The sequence below is a fragment of the Homo sapiens genome, chromosome 8 (assembly GCF_000001405.40).
Source record: "Homo sapiens chromosome 8, GRCh38.p14 Primary Assembly".
Classification (NCBI taxonomy): Eukaryota; Metazoa; Chordata; class Mammalia; order Primates; family Hominidae; genus Homo; species Homo sapiens.
The window spans coordinates 116,582,292-116,603,574 of record NC_000008.11 but is presented as its reverse complement, the minus strand read 5'-3'; the positions used below and the strand labels follow the sequence as shown (position 1 = coordinate 116,603,574).

At 42.4% G+C, this 21,283-nt stretch overlaps 1 annotated feature.

The window, feature by feature from the left end:
* Window positions 19,811-20,661: an enhancer, noted in NCBI's record as "H3K27ac-H3K4me1 hESC enhancer chr8:117595153-117596003 (GRCh37/hg19 assembly coordinates)". NCBI's record gives its function as "activates a minimal SCP1, AML or CMV promoter by ChIP-STARR-seq in naive H9 embryonic stem cells {active_cell/tissue: H9 hESC(naive)}" and the evidence as "EXISTENCE:reporter gene assay evidence [ECO:0000049][PMID:30033119]".

The following is a 21,283-nucleotide window of genomic DNA, read 5'->3' as shown; positions in this document are numbered from 1 at the left end:
TCAAAATATTTATGCTACAAGTACTTATCAAGTTCCTACTGTGTGCCAGACACTAAGTTGAAACTAGGGATGATGGGAAGCTTCTAATGCAGAGGACGAACAAATAGTGAAACACACACAAATAGGCATCTACTTACAAAACTGTAATATATGATGTAGAGAGAGTAACAGGGGACCCATTGAATAGGGTGGCCAGGAAGGCCTCTTCTGGGAGGTGACTTTTATTTGAGACCAAGGACAAAGAGAAGCCAATCATATGAAGGTTGGATAAAGTGTTTTAAGCAGCGGGGGTGGCATGTGAAGGGAAAGTTGAAGCTAAGGGAAAGAGCCAGTGATGGAAACTGCTGAAGGAAAGCTGATCTGGCAGAGAGACAAGGAGCAAGAGGGAGCCTTCTGGGATGGGTGTGGGGGAAGAGCTTTCTTGTGAATAGCTGTATCCTCTTTGCCTATGCAGGACATGCAATAGTTGTTCAATAAATACTTGTTGAATGAATGAATACATACTTGAAAGACTGAAATCAGTCCTGATCCTCAAAAAAGAGATGGGATGTAACAAGATAAGAAAGAATTTCCTGGGGTACATTTCTTTGTCTTCTTCACGGTGTTCAAGTTTTGGCCAACAGACTATGGCACTTGGGCCTATTCTCACGGGCTTGGCAACGTGGAACTCACCCCGTGAATGAGTTTGGTTGGTTCTTTTTATCCTTCTGCATGCCAGTTCCCTGTGTTGGGTGTTTGCTTCCGCAGGACACAGGGCTAGGACATCTTCTGGGAGCTACTGCATCACCAGACACCATCACTTTCGCCAATTTATCTCAATACCACTAATACTGCCGGCCTGGGCTGTCTCTCCAGTGACCTGGAGACTGCCACCACATGCTCTGTTCTGGATTTCACCTTACAACCCACCTCTACTGAGATACAAACTGGAGACAAATAGTGAGTGACAGAATCAAGTACTACACTCAGAAGTGCATCTGTTTCCCTGCTACTGAGGTTTTGTCACTGGGCCAAGCTGGTCTGCTGACCCTCTTTCCCTTAAGGTGAGAGCTTTCCCAGGAGGCTTCTCAGTCCCTTATGCAAATGTCCTGCTGGCAGCCCAGCCCACCAGCTCATTAAAGCTGTTTAGAGGTATTTGAGTCCCAGAGGTGGATACAGCTTAGGCTCAGACTGGGATGCCCAGTAGATCTGAGGCTACTTTCTGCTTTTCCTCCTCCTCCTTTTTTAAAAGCCTTATTTTATCTTCCCTCTCTGACGAAAAGTCTGGTAAAGGTGTTTGAGATATGGATTACCGATGCAACATAGTGTTTTACATCTGCAAGAGACAAATGTGTGAATTGAGGGATGAACTCCCTAAATATAGGAAGGGACATACATATTCTTGGATGCTCTTAAAACCATATGATACAGGCAACTCCATTTCACCCATGCTTAACTATTCTTTCATGGTACTGTGCTTGGTAGTGCTGAGGGAAGTGGAACTGAAGCAAACAGCAGCAGCTGTGCCAGGGAGAAAAACCTGGTAAGTCACTTTCAAGCCAAAAGGCACTTGGGTTGCTCTGTCCATGTCTCAGTAACAACCAAGTGTGCACAGTCTCTGGAGCCAGGCATGCTTGACGTGAAATCCCATCTGATCACTTACTAGGTTTATGAACCTAGAGGTCACATTGCCTCTCTGTGCCTCAGTTTCCTCATCTGTAGATGGGTAGAATAGTTAAGAGTGCTTGGCTTCTGAGTCAATTTCCCTCCCTTACGATCTCTGAGAATTTCAGCAAGTTCTTTCATCTTGTTGTACCTCAGTTTCCTCATCAAATGGTGACACTAATAATATACATATCTCATGGAGTTTTTGTGAGGATTATGTGAGTTGATACACAGGAAGCACTCAGAATGGTGGCTGTCACATAGTGAGCATTGCATGCCTATTTGCTATTATTGTTGACATTATTACTGCTAATGCCCACCATGTAGGTGGTTGTGAGAATGAATGGGATACAAAGCCCATAAAGAGCTGGCCTGGTGTCTGCTGAATTTCAGCCAGAGCTCCTATTCATCTAACAACGATGCTGTGTTCTGAGGATGGGAGGCTCCAGCACTAACTTCGATGTGAACTTCTTAAGCTGCAGTTTACAAGTTTAGGAAAGGGAGGGCTCTCATACTGGTTTTTTCACTTCCACAGACTCGCTCTCATGACCCAGTGTTCTCCAGGATCTTCAGTGAGGAATGTCAAAAGCTTTCATGTGTGTAGGAGCTGCCTTTAATCCCTGATAAGGGGAATAAAGAGAGGAACACAGCTGAGTGATATTAGAGCATGGTGGGTTTACAGTGTCATGTAAAGGGTGTTCTGATTTCTCTGCTCTATAAAACACCCTATATAAACTATAAAGTAAAATATTTGCAGTTTTACATACCCAGAAGTCCCGGGTGGGTAAGAGTGAAGCAATTTGGTAGATTTCCAAATCCACGAGGCTTTGGGGATTCTGGTTTTGCTTCACCTGATGCAAACCGATACTCTGGATTCTATGGAAAGCACATTTTTATGCTTGAGTTATTCCTAGTTGGGGGCTGGAGACCATGTTGGCTCTGGAGGAGCTTCAATAGAGGCTGCTGTGGCACTTTGAGGGAACAGTCGTTCAAGTTTCTGATAACTGGAATAGGAGAAATTTATAGAAATAAATTAAATGTTCTGTTTATATAAAAAGTAATTTTAAAGACACTTTTAGTGGGACTGTAAACTAGTTTAACCATTGTGGAAGTCAGTGTGGCGATTCCTCAGGGATCTAGAACTAGAAATACCATTTGACCCAGCAATCCCATTACTGGGTATATACCCAAATGATTATAAATCATGCTGCAGTAAAGACACATGCACATGTATGTTTATTGCGGCACTATTCACAATAGCAAAGACTTGGAACCAACCCAAATGTCCAACAATGATAGACTGGATTAAGAAAATGTGGCACATATATACCATGGAATACTATGAAGCCATAAAAAATGATGAGTTCATGTCCTTTGTAGGGACATGGATGAAGCTGGAAACCATCATTCTCAGCAAACTATCACAAGGACAGAAAACCAAACACCGCGTGTTCTCACTCATAGGTGGGAATTGAACAATGAGAACACATGGACACAGGAAGGGGAACATCACACACCGGGGCCTGTTGTGGGGTAGGGGGACGGGGGAGGGATAGCATTTGGAGATATACCTAATGTTAAAAGACGAGTTGCTGGGTGCAGCACACCAACTTGGTACATGTAAACATATGTAACTAACCTGCACGTTATGCACATGTACCCTAAAACTTAAAGTATAATAAAAAAATAAAAAATAATAATAAAAAAATAAAGACACATAGCTTCAAAAAATTTCTACTTTCAGCTGTTGGTATTCTGAGCCACTACGGAGACAGAGCAAACACTCTGTCAGAGTTTAATGATAAATTGATAGCTGAAGCTTGGAAAGGGTGGAAAGGTCTGATTTAATAAGACAATGGATAAGCCAAACACTCACCAATGGTGATTTACAGCTGCAAAGGGCAGGGTTTTAAACTCACCCTACACAAACAGTAACTTTTCAAAAGAAGACATACATGCAGCCAACAATCATATCAAAAAAAAGCTCAACATCACTGATGATTAGAGAATTGTAAATCAAAACCACAGTGAGATACCATCTCACACCAGTCAGAATGGCTATTATTAAAAAGTCAAAAAATAACAGATGCTGGTGAGGTTGTGGAGAAAAAGGAACGCTTATACACTGTTGGTGGGAGGGTAAATGAGTTCAGCCATTGTGGAAGACAGTGCAGAGATTCCTCAAAGACCTAAAGACAGAAATACCATTCAACCCAGCAGTCCCATTACTAGGTATATGCCCAAAGGAATATAAATCATTCTATTACAAAGACACATGAACACATATGTTCACTGCAGCACCATGCAAAATAGCAAAGACATGAAATCAATCTAAATGCCTATCAGTGATAGACTGGTTAAAGAAAATGTGGTACATATACATTGGAATACTGTATAGCCATAAAAAAGAACAAGATTATGTCCTTTGCAAGAACACGGATGAAGCTAGAGGCCATTATCCTTAGCAAAGTAATACAGGAACAGAAAACCAAATACTGCATGTTCTCACTTATAAGTGGGAGCTAAATGATGAGAACCACATGGACATATAGAGGGCAACAATGCTCACTGGGGCCTTTTGGAAGGTGGAGGGTGGGAGGAGGGAGAGGATCAGGAAAAGTAACTAATGGGTACTAGGCTTAATGCCTGGGTGATGAAATAATCGGTACAACAAACTCCCATGACACAAGTTTACCTATGTAACAAACCTGCACTCGTACTCTTGAACTTAAAATAAAAGTTAAAAAAAAAAACCTCATCCTAGTGAATTTTGTATCTAAAAAAGTAACTATCTGAAAAATTATGTTATTAGATAATACTTTAGACAATATATTTTGCTCATGTCACCCCAATAAGGTTACAAATCACCTGCTCCTTTGTCTTTTCTTTTTAAAAATGTTTGGCTCCAAATATGGTGTAGGAAACTTTTCCTTTCTACTTCTAATTTCCGAGATTCGCTGGTTGCCACCAGCTCTGGCTTCCTGGCTATGACTGAATGAAGTTCTGTTCAACTGCACATGCTCTATCACTCATCCTCACTGTCACCTCAAGGAGACATTTTGGGACATGGATTTCAGCTGCCCATGTGGGAGTTGAGTGGTTTTGGGGTTCTCTCTTCAGGTCTAGTTTCCCCTGTTGCCCTCTCCTGTCCACTCATTGGGCTATCACGTTGAAAGGAAAGCACAGTAATTTCTTGCTTATTCATTCACTTGGTGACCAGTGTTTCGCTGTAAGCCTCTGACGTGTGGAGTGCTAGGCTAGGCGGAAGGCCATGGTCCACGCAGGTGTGCCCTGCAGGAGGCCGCTGGCGGAGGCAGCTGGTGCTGCTCTTCCAGGTCGTGCCTCTACTTGGAGGAAAGGGCATCGTTGTGTAGCTTACACTGAGGAGCTCCATCGGCTAATGCAGGGCTCTGGTGAGAAGCACTGAGGGCCCATGGGAGAAGCTTAGTCTCAAGGAATATCTTAGTCTTGCTGCCATTTAGTCATCAAACACGATGGAAGTGGGATTTAGGGACTGAGGAGTTTTCTGCATTACTTTGGCCAAGCAGGGATTCTTTAGAACAACAACAGCCTCAGCGATGACAATGACAACAAACTGGCAAATTGTATTTTCCAAACTTGGCTGCAGCAATATCTTCATCCTGCACACTCTTCTCAAATGTGAACTTGCCACTCCCTCATCAGAAGGCAGAGTCCGTTTCTCTACTCACTTGGGTCCCATTATAGCTCTGACCAATAGAATACGGCAGATGTGGCACTGACACTTTCAGGCATATCCCTGACCTAGCCTGGCAGCCTCCGCTTTTAGCCACTGAGAGGTCAGTGGCCATGGAGGAAGCGAGACTCCACTGGGACATCTGTGTTCTGAGAGGCACAAGCCACGTGAGAAGGCTCTGGAGGATGAGATGCCATTTGAGAGGGGCCAGGAGATATGCCAAGGAGCATGGAAGGTGCAGACACCTGAGTGAAACAGCTCTCTCGGAGGGTCAGCCCTGGCATCGAGCCTTCAGAAGACTCCAGCCCTATCTAGACTCTGCCTCTATCCACACCAGAGCCCCAAAGCTGGAACTGCCCATCTGGAGCCTGTCAACCTACAGAGCCATGAGAGCTAATATATTGTTATTTCAAACCACCAAGTTTTGGGGGTGGTTTGTTATGCAGCAATGACACTGAAACACCCTCTCCCCTCCTGCCATTTCCTCTGAAAACAAAACTCCAGCTTAGTGCTCTTTTGCTTCTTGCAACTTTTTTTCCAGGAACTAGAGACATGGAGAAAGCAAGGAATATGAAGTGTGGTTGAAGTTTCAGTGTAATAGACTACTGGTAAGTGGTGTCCACATTTTTACACAAGCAGATTTTTGATCTCTACCTCTTTACTTCCTATTTCACCCCATTTCCACCTGTCTCACTCTTTGACACAAGATATGTGAGGGCATATGAACTCCATTCATTCATATATTTATGTGGTTGTTTTGTCAAAGGTGTGACAGTGACTAAGAGACTGGACACCTGGGAGTGAGGAATGAAAGACAAGGAAGCGCATCTTTACCCTTGTAAGACCCACCATTGCCCTGGAGACATGCATAGAGCAACAAATGATACCATAAGATACTGCCCCAGGAAAAGAATCTATAGAATACTTTTGAGGAAAGGATACTTTCAGAACCCCTCTCGAAGGCCACATGCAAAAGAAAACTCCAGGGGACCTTACTGGCTGAATCTACCCTGCCACATTCTGTGCCTGGGACACTCTCTGTTAGTGCTGCTTTGCAGTCTGTGAAGACGGGTATTATGGTCAACTGAGCACTGTCCACAGGTACAGTCTCGTGAGCAATGCTGAACTGGTGATGACTTCCACCCAGACCGTTTGCAGCCACTTCCCTTCCCAGTTTACCCGGACACCTCCAGGCTCAAGCTTCAGTGGCAGTTACAGTCTTACTTGATTTTCACTGCTTTGTATTGGTCACTAATTGTTTCATATAGACGCATGTCGTCTCCTTAATCAGGCTGCAAGCTTCTTGTGGGTGTTATTCTTCTCCTTTATTGAGTTCTAAGTGCTACTGGGCACTTAGAACTCAATAATTACTTAGCGGTTGGTTGAAGAATATGGAACTGAATTGGATGGATGACAGAAACTTATAAATCAAAAGGTTCAGATATTGAGAGAGTCTTAGAGATGTTTAGTCATTGGCAGAACTCTTAGTAGCCGTTAGGCATGAACTTCAATCCTTAACTACATAATCTTCACAACTCAATCAGCTGGATGACCTCATTCTTATTTTATAGCTGGGGAAACTGAGTTTTAGAGGGTGAATTACCCTGGTCAAGATCATGTAGCTATGTAAGATGTAGGACTGGATATTGAGTACTGCAATGTTCAATGACGTTGCAACTCTGAGGTCCATACTTCTACCATGACACTCTACTGCCTTAACTTTGGAGTCTTATGTGCCCATCAGATGGATCGTCTGTCAAATATATTGTGGTTTTTGTGTGTGTAGTCTTCCAATTTCCCCATGTTTCCCCATACTTTCCAAAGTTGTAAAGTGTATCTGCATGGACCTAACTTTAGCAATCTCTTATTTCCAGTCCCTAACTTCGTTTGGATGTCATATCCAAAACTTTGGATCCAATGTGTATATTTCTTGTGGAGGCAAAAAATGCAAGCCTTCCAGCATCTGTTATTTATAATTGCTCTGCATCAAATTACAATTTTGGATTTAAATTTGAAAAACTACATTTCAGTACCAAGGTTTTGATGTGGAAATGAACAAAGGTAAAAAGTAACTGATGCCCTTTATACTTTTTTTTAATAGAGGGAGATGTGTAAAAACATTCAAAATCAGAAGGTGTCCTGCTGCTTGTTCTGTCTTTGGAGGGGACTGTGGAATTTCATCATTGTGCTGCTCTTTAGGACTAGAATTTACACATGGCATCCTAAATCCAGACATTGAAACCTCAACATTTTACCTCAGGCACTGTCTGATCCATGTTCTCTGTCTTCAGTGGTTGCAGCAGTTCTCTGCTGCAGCTAGCTCAGCTCCTGGTTGGGAGACCAAGCGGAAGCCAATCCCATATGCCTTCATTTCCCTATCAAGTCCTTTGATCGGCATGTCTGTCCTTCTAAGTCAGATTAAGAAATCATTGGTTGAGGGAAGTTAATACAATAAGAAAAAGACTAGCTGGACAGAAACATGGATAAAAGATGTAATCAGGATGTGTTAGTCTGCTAGGACTGCCATAACAAAATACCACAGGCTGGGTGGCTTCAACAAGAGAGATTTATTTCTTACAGTCTGGAGGCTGGGAAATCCAAGATCAAGGTGCCAGCAAGGTAGGTTTCATTCTGAGGCTTTTTTTTTTTTTTTTTGCTTGTAGGCAGCTGCCATCTTGCTGTGTGCTCACATGAGCTCTTCCTTGAGCATGCACAGAAAGTGTGGTCTGATGACTTTTCTTTTCTTTTTCTTTTTTTTTAGAGACAAGATCCAGGCTGAAGTGCCATGGTGAGATCATAAGCCACTGTAATCTCAAACTCCTGACCTTAAGCAATCCTCCTACCCTCAGCCTCCAGAATAGCTGGGACTACAGGTGCATGCCACCATGCCTGGCTAATTCTTTGTTTATAGAGATAGGGGCTCATTATGTTGCCCAGCTGGTCTCAATTTCTTGGCTTCAAGTGATCCTCCTGTCTTGGCCTCCCAAAGTGCTAGGATTGCAAGTATGAGCCACTGCACCTGGCCTGATGTCTCTTCTTGTATGGATACTAATTTTGTTGGATCAGGGCTCCACACTTATGACCTCCTTTAACCTTAATTACTTCCTTAGAGTTCCTATCTCCAAATAGAGCTACACCGGGGGTTATGGATTCAACATATGAATTCTGAGTGGGACACAAACATTCAGTCTGTAACACAGGGCATTCACAGCAAGGGTAATACAAATTGTCAGTATACATGTATTATTATTTTAAACAATAACAACAATAATAGCCAACATTAATCTGGGGCTTACCATATTCCAAGGATTGTTCTAAGCACTTGGATTACTATCTATTTATTCATGTACTTCTTGTAGGACCCTTACGATGAGGTAGTTTCCATTGTTTTCCCATTTGACAGAGGAGGAGCCTGATGCACAGAGAAGTCAGACAACTTGTCCAGGATCACGCAGCTAGGAAAAGGCAGCATCTGGCCCTGAGCCTGTGCTCTCAACAACTCTCTAAGATACTTACGCTCAATCATAGGTACAAACCGGAAGAAGACACCAATGTTTTAGCTATTGGCTTGGTAAAAATTAAAAAGCTTGATATATCTAGTGCTGGCAAGGGAAAATGGCATTTAAAAATATTTTTAAATTTTTAATTTTTTTTGAGGCAGAGTCTTGCTCTGTCACCCAGGCTGGAGTGGTGTGGTATTATCACAGCTCACTGCAGTCTCAAACTCCTGGACTTAAGAGATCCTCCAACTTTAGCCTCCTGAGTAGCTGGGACTACAGGCATGTGCCACCACGCCTGGCCAATTCTTTTATTTTTTTGTAGAGTCTGGGTCTCACTATATTGCCTAGGCTGGTTTCTAACTCCTGGTCTCAAGTGAGCCTCCTACCTTGGCCTCCCAAAGTGCTGGGATTACAAGCATGAGCTACCGTGCTCAGCCTCAAAGAAAGTGGCATTTTTATGCACCTTTGTGGAAGTGGAAACTTTTGAAAGGCAGGTTGTCACTATCAATATCGAGTATGTATGCATTTATACTTTAAGCCAGCAATTCTCTTTCTGAGAATTTACTTTATTGATATACTTAACAGCAAACTACTTAAGGTAGTTTGCTGATGGCATCTCTGTGGGCAGTGTGGCCTCATTCACTTCTATTGATAACAAAATTATGCCAAGATATCAGTGCACAAATGTTTATTGCTGCATTGTTTGAATTAACAAACAAAACCCCAAAACCTGGAGTCAACATAAATGTCAATCGATAGGGCAAAGATGAAATCAATTATAATAATTTATATGATGAAATGAGGGGGGTTGGTCCATGAGCACTGACATGGATATATTACAAACACGTACTCATAGGTTGTGTTAGTTTGCTAGTGCTGCCATAACAGAGTAACACAGACAGGGTGGCTTAAATCACAGCCATCTATTTTCTCACAGCCATCTATTTTCTCACAGTCCTGGAGGCTGGAAGTCCAAGATCAAGGTGCTGGCAGTGTTAGTTTCCTCCCAGATCACTCTCATTGGCTTGCAGATGGCCATTCCCTGGCTGGCTCTTCACATGTCTCCCTCTGTGCAAACACACAGGGATCTCTTTGGGTATCCTAATTTCCTCTTCTAATAAGGACACAAGTTAGACTGGATTAGGGCCCACCTGATGGCCCCATTTTAATTACTTCTTTAAAGGCCCTATTTCCAAATAGAGTCTTTTTTTGCGGTACTGGGTGTTAGGACTTCAACATATAAATTTTAGGAGAGACACAATTCAGCCTATAATACAGATGAAAAAGAAGGCTGGATAACTTTGTGATTAGCATAATCTCTTATGTATAATTGTAAAAGATATGTAAAGACTGGTATAGGCATTGCAATTTTTTCTGCAATGCTCTCCAAGGAACTCTTAAAATTTTTTAAAAAAAGAATAGAGATAGAACCCTGCCATGCTCTACCCAGACTGGATTCAAACTCCTAGGCTCATGTGATCCTCCCGCCTCAGCCTCCTGAGTAGCTTGGGATTGCAGGCACACGCCACTGTGCCCAGCTCCTCTCCAAGGAACTCTAGGCTTACTTTTGGGGTAAAATAACAGAATGAGTTGGGAGTGTGGTTGAGGCTAAACTCCTATTTACTCTTATACCTTTCCGTAATTAATATTCTAATCATGTGGAAGCATTGCTTTTTATTTTATTGTTCAAATGTCAGCAAAGGCTACCTAGATAGCAGGATTATAGATTTAAAAAATGTTTGCCTTTAATTTTTCTGATGGAAAACTTCATTAATATTATTAAAATAAAAAGATATATTCTAAAAAAGCAATAATAAGATAATTGAGGGGAAATGGCAGCATGTATGCTGGGAGATTTGCTGGTTTATGGTGAACTCTCCTTGCTTTCAGTGTGCTGTTGGTAAACAAATGGTCTTTGAAAACCTTCTATCAAGTGTCATGATCCATGGTCCCAACCCCATTTTTTTCAGATATTATAAAATTTTCATGAAGGTTAAGCTATGTTAGGAAAATGTTGTGCCTTCTTTTTATTGGAAATAATCCAGAAAGAAAAAAAATTTCAGCAAACTTCTATCTACTTTCTATTGATCTGCTTTAGGGATTAAACATAGCAAATTATTAATCACTGCCCATCTTCTGTTACCAGCAGGCTCTTGGGTCACCTTCTCAGATCAACAGTTGTGCTCATCGAATGTCCAAGAATTTTAATATTTGTTCAAATGAATGGGATTAGGAGGAAAAATCTACTGCAAATGAGATGCTACACACCTTTCTCCAAAGTGAAATCTCTATCTTATCACTTGCTCCTTGGTTTTGACATATTTCTGCTTCCCTCTAATAGCAAAAAGTCCTTTAAATTGAAATGTTTTAAAACTTTGATCTAAGAAGAAATGAAAGAACTTATATTTATTGAGGGCCTACCAGGTACTGAATGCATTACATATATTCTCTCACTTGATCATCACAGTTACCCTAGGAAGTGAGTATTATTATTTCTCATTTGCAGATAAGAAACAGAATCAGAGAGATGGAGGAACACTTCCAAAGTCTAGCCACTGGGTATGTGTGGAAGTAAACTCATTACCAGGCCTTTGGATTCACAAGTGCATGTTCATCCCGGCTTCTGCCAACAGTTCACCAATAAGGTTTCTGAAGAGCCCTCCAGCTCCCAGACTTTGGGGCTTAGTGAGATGGGGCAGGACAGCAGCCCGAAGGCCTGGGTTTCCCTTGGAAACAGGAAAATAGAAAACTCTTCACTTGATCCAAGAGAGATATTGGTGAGAACCTATGAAACGATGAAAAAAATGAGGCCCAGAAAGGCTTTGTGAATTTTACTCTTATTTATTTCCCAATTTGTGTTTTTTTTTTTTGCAGATTTATGTTTTTATTATTTATTATTATTATTATTATTTGAGAAGGAGTTTCACTCTTGTCACCCAGGCTAGAGTGCAGTGGCACATGATCTCGGCTTACTGCAACTTCTGCCTCCGGGGTTCAAGCAATTCTCCTGTCTCAGCCTCCTGAGTAGCTGAGATTACAGGCACCCACCACCACTCCCAGCTAACTTTTGTATTTTTAGTAGAGACAGGTTTCACCATGTTGGCCAGGCTGGTCTCCAACTCCTGACGTCAGGTGATCCACCTGTCTCAGCCTCCCAAAGTGCTGTGATTACAGCCAAGCCCAGCCTCTTTTTGTCGATTTAAAGAATGAAGTAGCAAGCTCTGCAATGCAGGAAGGTAGTTTGCCGATGGCGTCTCTGTAGGGAGTGAGGCCTCATTCACTTCTGTTGATTGACTGCCTAGATATATGAGTACTTTAGTATCATCTTGTGTTTTTCTTTCAAGGTTTCATGGAGAAATTAAATTGTAAGAATCCTCATTTATTTTGTGTATGTTCTCATAGCAAAAAAGTAAAAACAAAATACAGAAATGTAAAACAGAAAATGAAATCCTAGTGTGTAGTAAGTAACTCCATCTTGTAAAAAGGCTCCATCTCACATTTCAAAAGGCATCGTGCCAACAGGGACCAGATGTTTGCCTAATCAACAGAGACAGAACCCAACCAGATAAAGAAACAACCAGGCAAACTCTTAGCTTTCAGTCCTCTCCAGAGGGCAATATGGTCATAAAAAGAGCAAGACTTATCAGCTTGTGATGGCCATCTTTATAGACCTTGTCTCGCTATCACTTATGATCAGCGCCCAGCATCTACCACCAAAGGCTCTGCCCAAATCAAAGACTTGCAAGACTCTGATGTTGGTCCAGATCAGGGCAGGACACTCTCCTTGTACAGGTCACTTGCCTTGGACTGGTTTGTTAACCCCTTTTTTCCTATCCCCTTTTCTCTTGAAGTTAAAGATTACTTTGTTTGATGGGGAATGTGTAATCTATGACATTTATATATTGATTAGGTATACTATTATATGGTACTATACTATATATATGTATATGATTTGCAATATTGACTGACCTATGGAGAGACTTGGGCCTGTGTGCCCATGGCTCTGACTACTGAGTGAATGAGTAACACTAAGGAGAACTGCCTCCTTGGGAACTCCAGGAAGTCCATGGGTTTTTGTTTTGTTTTGTTTTGTTTTGTTTTGAGACGGAGTTTCACTCTTGTTGCCCAGGCTGGAGTGCAATGGTGCGATCTCAGCTCACTGCAACCACCACCTCCTGGGTTCAAGCGATTCTCCTGCCTCAGACTCCCAAGTAGCTGGGATTACAGGAATGTGCCACCACACCCAGCTAATTTTGTATTTTTAGTAGAGATGGGTTTCACCATGTTGGTCAGGCTGGTCTCAAACTCCTGACCTCAAGTGATCCACCTGTCTCAGCCTCCCAACATGCTGGGATTATAGGTGTGAGCCACCGTGCCCGGCCAAGAGCATGGCTTTTATGATTGAAACAGCATCAGTAAAACTCTGACCTCGTGGAAAAACACAAATGAGCACGGATCTGGTTGTGTCTGACCTTGGTTGCTCACCACACCTAGGTAATGTCTCACTCCAAAAATAAAAGTTTGGGCTATAACCTGCCAAATATTTGCCTGTGATATAAAGGAATATACCCCATGCCAAGCCATACTGAAGCCTGAGGCAAAAGAAAAAAATCAGTAATACAGATCTTGTCTTTATTTAAAATTTTAATGTTTTGTTCATCATCAATTTTTTTGCATTACTTTTTAAAAACATTGCATTGGAATATTATTTATCTTGATTACTGAATTTTTTGGCATTTCTTAAATTTTATACCCGAGGTGAATTCTGTTATTGTCCCTCATTAATCTCACCCTAACCTTGACCCTGGAAAATACACCTTGTTATTAAAAAGGTTTTTTTTTTTTTTTGTGGGGGATGGGGTGGAGGCTTGTTTTACAAAATAAAGAATCATACTATAATTGGAGCAGTTTACACTTGGATAGCACTTACTATTTATTTATTTATTTATTTTTGAGACAAGGTCTCGCTCTGTAGTCCAGGCTGGAGTGCAGTGGTGTGATCTCTGCTCACTGCAACCTCCGCCTCCTGGGTTCAAGCAATTCTCCTGCCTCACCTCCAAAGTAGCTGGGACTACAGGCGTGTGCTAACTCCTGGCTAATTTTTGTATTTTCAGTAGAGATAGGGTTTCACCATGTTGGCCAGGCTGGTCTCAAACTCCTGACCTCAAGTGATGCATCTGTCTTGGCCTCCCAAGGCGCTGGGATTACAGGCGTGAGCCACCGCGTCTGGCCACTTACTATTTAATTCTATAGAATTACCATTTTTCTTGCTTTACCTTTGTTAACTCAATCCTCATAACAGTAACAGTTCTAGGAAATTGGTACTGTTTATATTGTTTCCATTTTGTAGATGGAGAAACTGAGGCATAGAGTTAAAGTGCCCAAGGCCACAGAGGAGGTAAAGAGCAGAGCTGGAATTTGAACCCAGGCAGCCTTGGCTCCTTCTAATCTACCAAGCAATTCTCTCTCTCTCTGTTTCTGTCTCTCTCTCTCTGTCTGTCTCTCTCTCTCTTTCTCTCTTTACACATACTGTCCCGTTATCTATATTTTTTCTTACTCTATCATGGACATCTTTCAATTTCAATACAGAAGACTCTACCCCATCCTTGGAGTCCCAGTATAAATGGAAATAGCAAGGGGGAAAACAAAAGTAAAACCTCAAACATCTCTCAATAGCACCTTGACAACCCCTCCAGTTTAGCCAGCATATTTCCTGGTCCCTGCCCTAGAAAGACTATTTCTCTCTAATGGACTTTTGACCATTGTGACTGTAGCTTCTCCTCTTTTCTGCCAGTGCTCTTATTTTGAAGATAATTGACTTAAGCCAGCAATTTGGCTGCTGTGTATGCAGAGCAAGCCACCTCTTCACAAGCTGAGGGAAAACATTTGGAGCACAGATTGCAAAGCACCTGAATTTGAAATGTTTATTTCTTGGCTGGCTTTTATTTCCTTCCAACTATCAAAGGAACTCTGGCTGAAGTTGATGAGTTAATCACTTGTCTAATTTCATTTCTTAAATCCTGGTTATTTTTAAATGATAAGTAACATGATTTACTGCCCTTTTTGATTTAGAAATCTGTTCAAAATTCAGAGGGGTGTCTACCTCTTTGTTAGAACAGTCTTTGGATGCTTTTTCTTTGGCCTTCTGTGATAATTAAATGCTTATGGTTCTTTCATCTGAAATGCAGGCTGATTATTGATATAGTTCATGCACTCTGGACCATTTAATTTAGATATTGGTTATTTCTACTAAACTGCAATATGCTTGGTGTCCCTAGGTAAGTAGGCTAAGAGGAGTTCCCTGACCTGTTCTATTTTGCAATATGCTCCCTTTCCATTTGTGAGTGGTTAGAAAATCTTGCTAACAAGGTCACCAATTCAATTCCTATACGGCTCAGTTCCAGGTCAAAGAATGGATGCTGAAGACCAATCACAAAGAATGTGTGTGCGTGTGTGTGTGTATGTGTGTATCAGCTCCAATCTTCCATGATTTCTTGTGGTATGAGTCGATAACAGAACAGTCAGAGTGAGGTCCCTTTAAGCACCAGGGAGTGAGAACAGAGCCTAGGTTTTTAGTGCATATGTCATTGTATGAGGGTGGTTGGAATGGAGATGTTTGGTAAATTAGGTGGTATCCTGGGCTGAATTGTGTCTTCCCTCCAAATTCGAGTTCACATTTTTAAATCGTAACCGCCTAATATCTCAGAATGTGACTGTATTTGGAGACAGAGCCTTTGAAGAGATGATTAAGTTAAAATAAAATCATTATGGTGAGGCTGCAATCTAATGTGACTGGCGTCCTTATAAAAAGAGGAGATTAGGATACAGACACCCGGGGTGACAACCATGTGAAGACAGAGGGAGAAGACAGCCATCTACCAGCCAAGGAGGGAGGCCTCAGAGGAAACCAACATTTAGCCTCTAGAACTATAAGAAAATAAATATCTGTTGCTGAAGTCACCAGTCTGCGGTACTTTGTCATGGCAGCCTCAGCAAACTCATACAGCTAAGAAGTGGATTCAACAGGATGGGCTTCTGAATTGAAGATATACATTTTTGTTAAGCTGGTCAAGTTGAGGATCTCACTAGTTTTACTGTCCCTGTAATTTACCTATCTGTAAATAGATTTTCTGTTTTTGAGTTCTTGTGATTTCCATGTAATGATGAAGTGGCTCTTGCAGCCTAAATAGACTAAGTATACTAAGTGGTTGGAAAATCCAGTGAATCACCTCTGAGGAATGGGCTGGAGAGGACTTAGGAGCTGAGCTGTCATTCTAAGGCCACTGCTAAAAGAGAGGGCACCACTCCCCTCTGCGTGGAAGAAGAGGAGGACCATTGCTCTCACATGTCAAGTACTGGGCTGTGAACTTTACAAACATCTCCTTTAAAAATTTTTTTTTTTTTGAGACAGAGTTTCACTCTTGTTGCCTGGGCTGGAGTGCAATGGTGTGATCTCGGCTCACTGCAACCACTGCCTCCTGGATTCAAGTGATTCTCCTGTCTCAGCCTCCTGAGTAGCTGGGATTACAGGTGCCTGCCACCATGCCTGGCTAATTTTTGTATTTAATAGAGACAAGGTTTCACCATGTTGGCCAGGCTGGTCTCAAACTCCTGACCTCAAGTGATCTGCCCGCTTTGCCTCCCAAAGACGTCCAGCCACAAACATCTTTTTAAATTTTTCCCACAAACTTGCATGATGTATTACATCATCCTTCTTTTATAGATGAGAAAACTATACAGATGATATGTATATTTTGTAAGAGAACACAGCAATTATAAGAGCTTGTGACTCAGATCTGCCTATGTCTAAGCTCAATATTGTTTTTATTACATTATGATCTCTCTAATTTCTTTTTAAAAAATGTTACTGCTTTGGTTTCTATGATGGCTATTTTTATATGTCAACTTGCCTGGGCTGTTGGGCCCAGCTGTTCAGTCAAACAACAGTCTAGGTGTTGCTGTGACAGGGATTTTTTTGTTTTTTAGATGTGATTAACATTTATTACAGTAGACTTTGAGTTAAGCCGATCACCCTCTGTAATGTGGGTGGGCCTCGTCTAGTCAGTTGAAGGCATTAAGAGCAAAGACTGAGGGTTAAGATGGAATTCTGTCTCAAGGCTGCAATGTAGATGAGAATTCCGTCTTAAGGCTGCCCGAGTTTCCAGCTGGCCTGCTCTGAGGATTTCAGACTTAAGAGTACAACATTGACTCTTACCTGAATTCCAGCCTACTGGCCTGCCCTATAGACTTCAGACTTGCAAACTCCCACAATCATGTGAACCAGTTCCTTAAAATAAGTCTGTTTGTCTCTCTCTCTCTCTCCCTCTCTCTCTCTCTCTCCTTCTCTCTCTCTCTCTCTCTCTCTCTGTCTCTGTCTCTCCCTCTCTCTCTCTCTCTCTATAAAATCCTATTGATTCTGTTTCCCTGGAGAACCTTGACTGATATAAGTCTTTGGCTTAGAAGTTTAGGGAGTCTCCCTATTCCATTAAAGTAGGTTACCTGTTGCAACAATCAGGTAAATAACCGCCAAATCTTAGTGGGTTAACACAGCAACATTTTTATTTTTTACTTACTTGATGGTCAGAATGTGACTGTATTTGGAGACAGAGCCTTTGAAGAGGTGATGAAGGTAAAATAAAATCATTATGGTGAGTCTGCAATCTAATCTGACTGGCGTTCTTATAAAAAGAGATTAGGATACAGACACCTAGGGTGACAACCATGTGAAGATGGTCCAGTAAACCATGGGAAGGTTGGCCTGCCCCATGGTGATGAGAGAACTAGGCCTCCACCCAGTGGGATCCACCCAGTGGGATTCTACCCAGGATCCTTTACATCTCGCTGGCAAGTGAAGAGGGAAGTGAGCGAGTGTAGAGGCTCTCATGAGAGGTGTCAGAGGTCAGGCCCGCAGGCAGCACGTGACTTTTTTCCATATTCCACTGTCCAGGGCTCAGCCACATGGGTGCACCTAGCTGCAAGGGCACTAGGACATGAAGTCTTCCTGGGAGAGCCCAGAAAGGAGAGGAGAAGCTTGTGTCCTGGAGAGGAATGGCTTTCTCTGACACACCCTTACACTGTCAACATGGCTGCAGACATGACCAGGAGTGCAGGAGGAAAAAAAAATCAACATAATACATGAATGCTGCTCTTGAATGGGAACATCCAATCTTTCAATATGTCTATTATTTTTAATCTGTAGATTCATAATTTATAGAGGCACGATTCTAATCAAAATAACTACAGGATTATTGCCCTGGAAATCTTCAAATTTTTTTTAAGATATTAATTTGGAAAAGTAATGGGGCATATGACCAAAGACCACCCCTAGAGGGAAGAGTTGTTAGGGTGGGAAACCTGTTTCCATCAGGTATCAGACAGGATCATAAAATAATGCATTGCACCTGACATACCATTAACACCAACAGGTCTTAAATTGACCTGGACAAATTAATAACTGCATACGCTTCTAGTGGCATTTCCATTTGGTACAATACTTTCAGAAAGCTTTGTGAGGAGATATATATATATAACACATAACAAGCAGGAATTCTTTCCTACCCTGTGACCCAATAATATTAATCCTAGAAGTCTATTTCAAGGAAGGAATTCAGCTTTTTAAGAACACCTGTTCTGTGAGGATATGTTCATTGCATTATTAGTTTTAATAGGAAAAAAAATTAGTGCTGTTTATAAATATCTAATAAATTATTTTTAATGAGGGCCTTATTTTTATTTACTTTTTTGAGACAAGGTCTCCCTCTGTTGCCCAGGCTGGAGTGTAGTGGCACAGTCACAGCTCATTGCATCCTCCACCTCCCAGACTCAAGTGATCCTCCCACCTCAGCCTCCCCAGTGGCTGGGACTATGGCCAGCTAATATTTTAATTGTTTATAGAGACTAGGGTCTTGCTATATTGCCTAGATTGGTCTTGAACTCCTGGCCTCAAGCGATCCTCCTAACTTGGCCTCCCAATGGGTTGGGATTATAGGCATGAGTCACACCGCACCTGCCAGGGCCTTCTTTTTATAAATACCCAACGCCTTACCAGAAACTGGTAAAGTAAGAATTGAAAAATAGAATTTTGCTTTAAATTGACTAGGAAAAGCTGCCGCAGAGCATGGCTACAATTAAGTATCTTCTCACCATAGTGGAATCATATCCTTTTTGTAGATATAAACATAAGTTTTTTTCTTCCTCTAGCCTAGAAAGTACACTATGGTGATTCTTAAGACAATTTTCCTAACCCTAAAAAGCCTTAATCCTGCTTGCCTTTGGAGCTTCTCATGGGGCAACAGAAAAAAAAAAAAAAGAAGATTAAAAAAAAATTAAGCCTCACTAATGTTTGCCACTGGCAAACAGAGGTGCCCCAGGAAGGAGACCTTGATGATTTTATAAATATACACCATGGTTTGTGTGTGTGGAGATGTCTCTTCCAGGGAACGAATAGCCTGGCTGCTTCTTGTAAGTCAGGGACATCTTTGTTGCTCTGTCCTTTGTTCTAAAATGTGTCAGGGGAATGCCTGGGCCCTTCAGCTGGGAGTGGAAAGGCACTCTGGCCCCCGTTCTGTCTTTCTTCTGATTTCTTGATTGAGCAGAAGCTGGTGTACAGTAGGTGGGGTTGGAGGCAGGTTCCCAGTGATTTGGACACACTCTTGGGTTGCAGGATGTTGGTAGTAGTAGGTCCACTGGGTGGCTGTACTTGAGCAAAAGGGGCAGGTTTGGGGGGTGGTGAAAGCCCACCTGAAGGCTTTGTTTTGCTAATAAATGCAAGTCTTCCCGAGAGGAATCTATCCTCCCTTCAGTTACTCTCCTCCTGAGCTACCACAGACTCTTTGAGAAGTCAACATAGCAGCCTGGCTATCAAATGTACACATATTTATATATTTAAAAGGACTCTCTGTAGAAGACACAGTGGGAACAGATTTACCAAGAGAAATGGCACCAGAGACAGAAATCATAACAGCAAACACAATAATTACAGGATTGCCAAAGACACAATAACAACTCTTTCCCAATGCCTCCCACTGTCCTGGCCAGACTCCCTGATTCCTGGCCCGGGGCCTGTGCCCATGACTACTGTGGTCCCTGCAGTAAGTACTGGGCCTGCTCCCTGGTGGTTCCAAAGACCTTGCCTGAAGTCCTGGGCACACCCCTCCCCCTCCCCCCAACCATGGTGGTGGAAGATTTAAATAAACACAGGCTAGGGGAAGAGGGAGAGAAATAAGAAGGCTGTGTTCTCATAGGGCACACAACAAGGCCACTTGTGGCTCCAGGACAGGGAGCTCCTCTTCCAGCTGTCCCAAACATTTTCTCTTCCAAGAAAGCACTTTACAAATGATACCTCAGACAACAGGCACAGTTTTGAGTCACCAGCCACACAGCAGGCCAGAGGTTTGTGAAAGTCCCTCCGTGCTGGGTTGAGGCAGGCGGCGACTTGGAGGCTGGAACACGATGTTCCTGTGGTCTCCAGGTGTGATCCAGATGTCACTTTCCCTCCTCTTCTCAGGAGGGTACTGGCTTGGGTGGTGGGTCCTCACTGCCCGGCCAGCCAGGGGTGTATGTGGATTTCTTTTCTTTTTTTTTGAGACGGAGTCTCGCTCTGTCACCCAGGCTGGAGCGCAGTGGCGTGATCTCAGCTCACTGCAAGCTCCACCTCCCGGGTTCACATCATTCTCCTGCCTCAGCCTCCCTAGTAGCTGGGACTATAGGTGCCCGCCACCACGCCCAGCTAATTTTTTGTATTTTTAGTAGAGACGGGGTTTCACCGTGTTAGCCAGGATGGTCTTGATCTCCTGACCTCGTGATCCACCCGCCTTGGCCTCCCAAAGTGCTGGGATTACAGGCGTGAGCCACTGCGCCCGGCCGTGGATTTCTTAGATTTGCCAGGCTAGCTGTGCCTTCTTCATACTCTCCCTTCTTTCCTATTCCTGATCTCTTTCTCTCCTTAGATGGTATTTTTATTTATTGAGCATTTACTATGTACACAATGCTGTGCTGGACATACAGGAGGCTGTGAAGAGGTAAAAGGCATGCTTTTGCCCTCCAAGGAGCTGAGAGCTTGGTATTGGAGACTGTTGCTTAGGCTAGGTGTAATCATTGGTTCTACAGCTTCTGTCACAGATCAGTGGTATGACCTTGGGCAAATCACTGAATATTTTTTGAGTTCAGTTTCCTTATCCATAAAATTGGAAGCCATACAAGGTTGTCCCACCCTTTTCTAAACTCTGTTGTTGTTTTTTTTTTTTCTTAGATACAGGGTCTTGCTATGTTGCCCAGGCTGGATTTGAACTCCTGGGCTCAAGCAATCCTCTTGTCTCAGCCTCCTGAGTAGCTGGGACTATATACATGTGTCACCATGCTTGGTTAATTAAAAAAAAATTTTTATAGAGGTTTGGGGGGTCTCACTGTGTTGCCCAGGCTGGTC